Raw genomic sequence first — 7,398 nt, 5'->3', positions numbered from 1 at the left:
TTGGAGAGGGGCTGGAAATTAAATTAATAATCAATCATGCCTACATGATGAAGCCTCCATTAAAATCTCTAAACTATGGGATTCAGAGCGCTTCTGGATTGGCAACCACATCTGCATGGCTGGAGGTTGGCACCTCCAACTCCAGGGGGACAGAAGCTTTTGTGCTCAGGACCCTTCCAGACCTCCTCCTACATATTTATTCACCTGGCTGTTCCTTTTTATCCTTTTAAATAACTTTTGTAATAAAGAGGTAAATGTAAGTAAAATATTTCCCTGAGTTCTGTGAGCTACTCTAGCAAATTAATCTAACCTAGGAAGGGTTGTGGGGACCCAAATTTGTAGCTGGTTCATCAGAATTTCAGGAGGCCAGGACTTGGAACCAGGATCTGAACTGAGGGGCCATCTTTTGGGACTGAGCACTTAGCCTTTGGGATCTGATGCTATCTCTAGGTAGACGGTATCTAAATTAAATGGAACTCAAGGACACCCAGCTGATGTCTCCTGGAAAATCTGCTGGAGAATTGCTTGAAATGTGAGCAACACCCCTAGACATCAGGGTCACAGAAGTGTTCTGTATTGAGTGTTGAGTGAGAGTAGAGGAAAAACACTTGAGTTTTTTCTACATACTCAAAATTTGGTATCTGAACATTGACATATAAAAAGAAATTTATTAGGTGGAAAAGTCAGAAATATTAATCACAGTAGCAAATGTCATGCACGTCCATGTGAAGAGACCACCAAACATGCTTTGTGTGAGCAACAAGGCTGTTTATTTCATGTGGGTGCAGGCAAGCTGAGTCCGAAAAATGAGTCAGTGAAGGGAGATAGGGGTGGGGCTGTTTTATAGGATTCGGGTGGGTAGTGGAAAATTACAGTCAAAGGGGATTTTTCTCTTGCAGGCAGGGGCGGGGGTCACAAGGTGCTCAGTGGGGGAGCTTCTGAGCCAGGAGAAGGAATTTCACAAGGTTAATCACTCAGTTAAGGTGGGGATAACTAAAAAGGAGTGCATAAAAAAAATGTTGTCCAAGTTGGCATCAGAGCTGGAGAGTTTTAAGAGGTTTAGAAGCCTGGCCGTCAATACCTACAACAGTTATGGAGGCAAATGAAACAGGCCTTTGAAAAGAAGGTAATGTGGAGTTGGTAGCCTCCATATTGATTAAGAAGGGGACCTACTTACCCTCTACTGTAAGAGTTACCCGAAGCATCTGTGATGGTCCAGGAGGCTTCTGAGATGACCAGGCAGCATCAGTCTTCAGCCACTAAGCCGAGAAGATCTGGGAAGGAGTCAGTCAGAGAGCCTTGGGCCAGGGTTCCAGGGGCTCTGGGAGTGGCTGCCAGGTGAGTTGGACAGTCCGATTTCCAGTGGGGTCCTGCACAGACGGGACTCGGCTTAGGAGGAATCCCAGGCTGCGGACATTCCTTGGTCCAGTGGCCAGATTTCAGGCACTTGAAGCAAGATGCTGGGAGAGGAAGTCCAGAAGGAATGCCTGACCGCTGTGGCTTAGGCATTTTGAAGTTCTTGTGTGCTGGAGATGTGGCTGGGGTTTCTCTCACAGCAGAGGCAAATAATTGAGACTCCTCTCTATTATTGTACACCTTGAAGGCGAGGTTAAGTCCTGTTGTGGGGTTTCCGGGCTGGAATCTAATTTTTGGAGCTTTATTTAATGTCGGGAGCAGATTGAGTAATAAAATGCATATTGAGAATAAGATGGCTTTCTTACCTTTCAGGGTCTAGGGTTGTAAAGTTTCTCAGGGTTGCTGCCAAATGAGCCATGAACTGGGCTGGGTTTTTATATTTGATAAAAAAGAGCCTAAACACTAACTCATTTGGGAGAGGTCGGATAAAGAAAAAGGAGCGTTAAACTTGACTATGCCTTTAGCTCCAGCCACCTCTTCAAGAGGAAATTGTTAGGCAGCTGGGGGAGGGCTAATCGCGAAATGAAACTGTAAGCCGGACGGAAGACCCGAGGTTGTAGGTGGATCTTTCTCACGGAGCAAAGAACAGGAGGACAGGGGATTGATCTCCCAAGGGAGGTCCCTCAATCTGAGTCACGGCACCGAATGTCACATGGGTCCATGTGAAGAGACCACCAAACCGGCTTTGTGTGAGCAACAAGGCTGTTTATTTCACCTGGGTGCAGGCAGCTGAGTCTGAAAAGAGAGTCAGCAAAGGGGAATGGGATTATCATTAGTTCTTATAGGTTTGGAATAGGTGTACAAAGTACATTTTCAAGGGCGGGGAGAATGTTACAAAGTACCTTCTTAAGGGTGGGGGAGAATATTACAAAGTACCTTCTTAAGGATGGGGGATAATATATCCTATCAGTTAGGGTGGGGCAGGAACAAATCACAATGGTGGAATGTCATCAGTTAAGGCTATTTTTACTTCTTTTGTGGATCTTCAGTTGCTTCAGGCTATCTGGACTTGCAGGTCACAGGAGATATGATGACTTAGCTTGGGGTCAGAGGCCTGACAGCAAACATTTGTGGAATGTTTACTTAGTCTCAAACAGAGTGTACATGTTTTTTAGATATCATCTCATTAACTCCAGGGGAATAGGTGATTTTATTATCCCACTTTTATAGGTAAGGAAGTGGAAGATTAGGGAGACTGAGTGGTGAGCTCCACTTTTCAAACCAGACTGTCAGGATCCAGAGCACCTGCTCTTGCTGCCTGTGGGCTCTGCTTTCTTTATAAGCATGTCCTTAATAAGATAAAAGATAGCTTTTAGTATAATGTAAGGGGACAGCTCGTGCAAATGCAGAGAGATGCAGAGAAAGTACACCTATGTGGGAGTCTGTCCCACAGACCCTGACCCAAGAGTGGATGAATAACGTACACTTACACAGATATTATGCCTGTCAGTCTGGCTGAGCATCCAGGCCACTTACAGATTCCAAGGACAGTGCTGTAAAGCTTAGCAGCCATGGCCTTGACTCCCTGGCCCTGCTGGCATTTATTCAGCACACATTAAATGACAAAAGGTCTCAAGTAAACACCACTAGAAGGTAATTACCATTGCCAACACCCCTGAGTAGAAAGCAATCATGTACCTGCAGATGGTCAAAAGTTAGTCTTAGGACCATATGAGTAAACAAGCTAGTTAGATAGACTCCTCTACATTCCTATGTTAATTACCCTTGTTATAGCTCAAAGAGGATTAAGCTGCCTTCAGCCATAACTCTATCCTGAGGCTTTTGCAAAAACCTTCCAGCCTTCCAAGAAGGTTTTTGTTTAGTTTGCAATTTCTCCCACCATCCTGACTGAACCCCTACACACCTGTGTAATAACAAAGGCACTGGAATGACAGGAAGGGGCCAGACGATGCACAACATCAAATGGAATCCTGATTATGTCCAGAATGCAGTGGAGGGCACAGAGGGTTTAGAGCAGTGGTGTGGCATTGTCAGACATGCTTGAAAAGCTGACTGTGGCAGTCATGTGAATACATGAGTGTAGGCCAATGAGACAAGTGACTGGGAGACAAAATGGAATTACGTAAAATCAGATAAGAAATAAAGAGGCATGAAAAATGCAGGAGTAGTAAAATGCAGAGGTCAGGCAACAAATAAAGGACCACTTAGAATGTAGTCTTCACATTATTCTCAGTGAAGTAACTCAGGAATGGAAAACCAAATACATATGTTCTCACTTATAAGTGGGAGCTAAGCTATGGGTACACAAAGGGATACAGAGTGATATAATAGACTGGAGATTCAGAAGGTACAGGGTAGGGGGTTGAGGGATACATATTGGGTGTAGCTTACAATTCTCAGGTGACAGGTGCACTAAAATGTCAGACTTCACCACTATGCAATTCATTCATGTAACCAAAAACCACATACTCCAAAGGCATTGAAATAAAAAAAATATGTATTTTACAAAAACAGAATCTAGGTTTTATAGAACTTCTTGACTGACTGGGTGCAGAGGGTAATTCTGAGGTGGTTTCTTTCTAGATTTCTGGAGTGGCCAACTGGATAGTGATTGTAATATTTCTTGAGATAGGGAATACAAGTAGAGGAGAAGCAGGTTTGTTAAGGAAGATAATGAGTTAAGTTTTCTTGAGTCAGTTAAATTGGATGAGCCTCTAGGCCTGTGCTTTCCAATATGGCATTCCCTTGCCAGATGTGGTTATTTAAACTTAAAATGATTTAAAAGCGAATAAAATTAAAACTTTAAGACCTCAGTTTCACTAGCCAAACTTCAAGTCCTCCACGGCAACATTTCCCTCGCGTTGATCATTGTGTTGGACAGCGTAGATTACCACACATTTATGTCATAACTGGAAGTTCTATTGCATAGCACTCCTCTAAGTCATGCAAGTAAAGTTACTCACCAGAAACTCGAATACATTGCTCTAAGATTCAGAGAGCAGTGAAATGAAATGAGTAGGAAGTAGTGAGTTTCTGATCTTTGGAAATACTTCCTTGGTGAAGATGTTGGAAAGGATGTTTAATGGTCACATAAGTGTTTACATTGGATTCACAGGCATTGCTGAGCATGTTCCAAGGGCTGTATACTGTGTTAGCTTAATATATATAATTACCATTGAATTTGATAACGATGTTGATATATGGTAGAATTGCATGAAAAAGAACAGGAGTCACTTTTTAAACATGAAAGTGATTTTGTTACTTTGCCCTAAAAATTCAAAGCAAAAGCCATCAAAAAATTACAAAAACATCCTCACTATTTTAAATATATGTAGCGTTATAGGAGTAGGAAGTGTGCATATATTATTTTACATTTAAATATCTTTAGCACGTATTTTTGTCTCAGCTTCAGTTTGGTCTAGGTAGAAAAATAATTCATTTCTGATTTCATGAACGGTTGAATTATGAGTCAGTTATTTTCTTAAATCTTATGCTTTTTAAACTATAATTTTCATTCCATAAAATACTCCCATTTATAAGGTACAATTCAATCATTTTTTAAAAAATTTGAAGAGCTCTGTTAGTTTCACCACAATTCCATTTTAGAACATTTCTATCATCCCAAAAAGATCCTTAATACCTTTTTGCATTCAGTGTCCATTGTCAGCATTGGCCCCAGATAACCACTGTTTACATTTTGTCTCTACAGATGCCTCTTTTTATGGATGTTCTATATGCATGTCCTCTTAAAATAAGAGCTCTTTTGCATCTGGCTTCAATCAGTTACAGCAGCTTTTTTTGAGATTGATCTGTATTGTTCTTCTATAAGCCTTTTATTTCTTGTTATTGCTGAGTAGCATTCTACCTTATAGATACATCACACTTTATGCATTCATCAATTGATGGCCATTTGCATTACTTCCACTTTTAGGCTATTTGGAATAATGTAGTTGTGAACATTCATGTAGAAATCTTCATGAAAACGTAAGATTTCATTTCTCTTAGAGTGATATCGAGAGGAAAATTGCTGAGTAATATGGTAAGTTAATATTTAAATTTTTAAGAGACTACCAAAATGGCTGCACTATTTTACATTTTGACAAGACGTTTCCAGTTTTTCCACGTCATCTTCAACACAGATGTCTTTTTATTTTAACCATTATTGTCCATGTGAAGCAGTATCTCATTGTGATTTTAATACTCACTTTTTTCTAAAGACTAATATAACTTTAAGTACTTTTTCATAGGTGTATTGGCTATTTGTTTCTCTTTGATAAGATGTTGATTAACATCTTTTGCCCACTGTAGTACTCATTTCACTGAGTGAGAACACTGGAGGTGGACAGGTACAGGCTGAAGGCTAAGTCCCTTCATCTCTATCCTCATTACGCACATGGTGCAGAGGGAGAGCCTTGTTCCTTTTTGTTTTTCCTTCATGCTTTTCTCTTTCTTCATAACATGATAAGCAGATCTTTCTTTAATGTCTATTGGCAGCTTGCTCAGAATAAATACATATAATATGTGCAGAATGATGTTCCATGTAAGCAGACATAAAATTATTTTTCCTCACTACCTCCCTGTCTCAACCCTTTAACTTTCTCTTAAAAAAGAAGACATATCAATAGAAGATATTAAAGTCATAAAGTCATCTCTAGGGGTTTCTCTGCCCCATGAACCCAAGGAAGCCAGAGCAGAGTAAGCCCTGAGCAGCTTCCATGGCTTCTATTTCATTTTACTGGACACATCTGTTGAGGCTGAATATGAAAAGGACATTGTATTACCCTGGGTAATACTTCTGTAATCAAAGCTTTTCAATATCACATCAGTCTACCAGCCTATCCTCTTGATGCCCATACTTGTATTTGGCAATGATTATTCAGTAAGGGATATCAAATACACAATTCCATGAATATATACAGTTTGTTCGTCAATTTAAAACTTTGTTTGACGTATAGAGCATTTAAGATACAATGAATCTCAAATCACAGCGATGCTCAAATTCTGCCATAATATTAGGTTCTAGGCAGCCCATGCCCCTGAAGGTTGGGCATTGTTTTTTTCCTGGGGTTAGGTCTGCCCAGCTTCTAGGCTAAAATGTTCAGTCAGCTGTCCTGTTTGAGGACCTGGTATAGACCCCCTGCTCTGTTCTGACCCTGTCTTCATGCTAGACTCTCAGAGTCCAAGCTCACTTGTCTTGAAGCAATTGATTATTCCCAGCATTTGCCTTTACAGCCCCTATCAGTCCTCTGACTGACAGGGTTCACAAAGGTGAACAAAATACAAGATCCCTAAACTCACAGAGCTTATAGGATAGACTGGAGACAGAAGTAATAGAATATTCATAATACTAAATGTACATTTGTTACCGTTATGAGTGTGTTAAAGGAGAGAAGCACAGCATTAAGGGATTTCACATAGGCTGGGGGGGTCAGGGAAGACTCACAATCGATCTGGATGCAGGTTTAGCTTCAAACATGTCAGCTGGGTGCGTGTTAGTGTCTCACACTAACATAAAAAGCCTGCTGCTACCAGCTCTTGTCTTCCTCTGGTAGCTGACAATGCAAATCATGCAGAAAGGAAGGAAGGACACATGACCTTGGGCACAACTGCAACCGACTCTTAGCCAGCAGCTCATCTTTTTCTTCTTGAATGCAGCTGCTGTGTGTGTGTGTGTGTGTGTGTGTGTGTGTGTGTGTGTGTGTCAGGGATGGTGGCGGTGGGGGCGGTGTTATTATAAGTATTGCTGCTGGGGAATGTATTGTCCACACGAATGTTTTCTTTAATAGGCATATTTCCTGCTTTTTCAGCACATAATGATGGATGTGGACCATAGTATCTTGAGAACATTTCCTGGGAGAATTTAGTAGTTGCATGAATTGAATGTGGAAGCATAATGAAGCAGGCTTTGTTAGAACTTCATGCTCTTATGTATACTTTACATTTTTCATAATGGGAGGGTGGAAAATGAAACCCATTTCAGTGGAAATCTGATACTTATGGTAGCACAATTCCAAACTAATA

The 7,398-nt window shown here is 40.9% G+C and overlaps 4 annotated features.

Annotated features, from left to right (window-relative positions):
• Positions 1,825-3,024: an enhancer, noted in NCBI's record as "P300/CBP strongly-dependent group 1 enhancer chr10:110358260-110359459 (GRCh37/hg19 assembly coordinates)". NCBI's record gives its function as "activates an origin of replication core promoter dependent on BRD2, BRD4, P300/CBP, MED14 and CDK7 cofactors, with strong dependence on P300/CBP, by STARR-seq in HCT116 cells {active_cell/tissue: HCT116}" and the evidence as "EXISTENCE:reporter gene assay evidence [ECO:0000049][PMID:35650434]".
• Positions 1,825-3,146: a biological region, named in NCBI's record as "P300/CBP strongly-dependent group 1 enhancer GRCh37_chr10:110358260-110359459".
• Positions 2,608-3,146: an enhancer, noted in NCBI's record as "OCT4-NANOG hESC enhancer chr10:110358138-110358676 (GRCh37/hg19 assembly coordinates)". NCBI's record gives its function as "activates a minimal SCP1, AML or CMV promoter by ChIP-STARR-seq in naive and primed H9 embryonic stem cells {active_cell/tissue: H9 hESC(naive and primed)}" and the evidence as "EXISTENCE:reporter gene assay evidence [ECO:0000049][PMID:30033119]".
• Positions 3,147-3,686: an enhancer, noted in NCBI's record as "OCT4-NANOG hESC enhancer chr10:110357598-110358137 (GRCh37/hg19 assembly coordinates)". NCBI's record gives its function as "activates a minimal SCP1, AML or CMV promoter by ChIP-STARR-seq in primed H9 embryonic stem cells {active_cell/tissue: H9 hESC(primed)}" and the evidence as "EXISTENCE:reporter gene assay evidence [ECO:0000049][PMID:30033119]".

This window comes from Homo sapiens, chromosome 10 (assembly GCF_000001405.40).
Source record: "Homo sapiens chromosome 10, GRCh38.p14 Primary Assembly".
NCBI classification, from domain to species: Eukaryota; Metazoa; Chordata; class Mammalia; order Primates; family Hominidae; genus Homo; species Homo sapiens.
The sequence above is the reverse complement of the archived record's forward strand: the minus strand, read 5'-3'. Positions and strand labels throughout refer to the sequence as shown.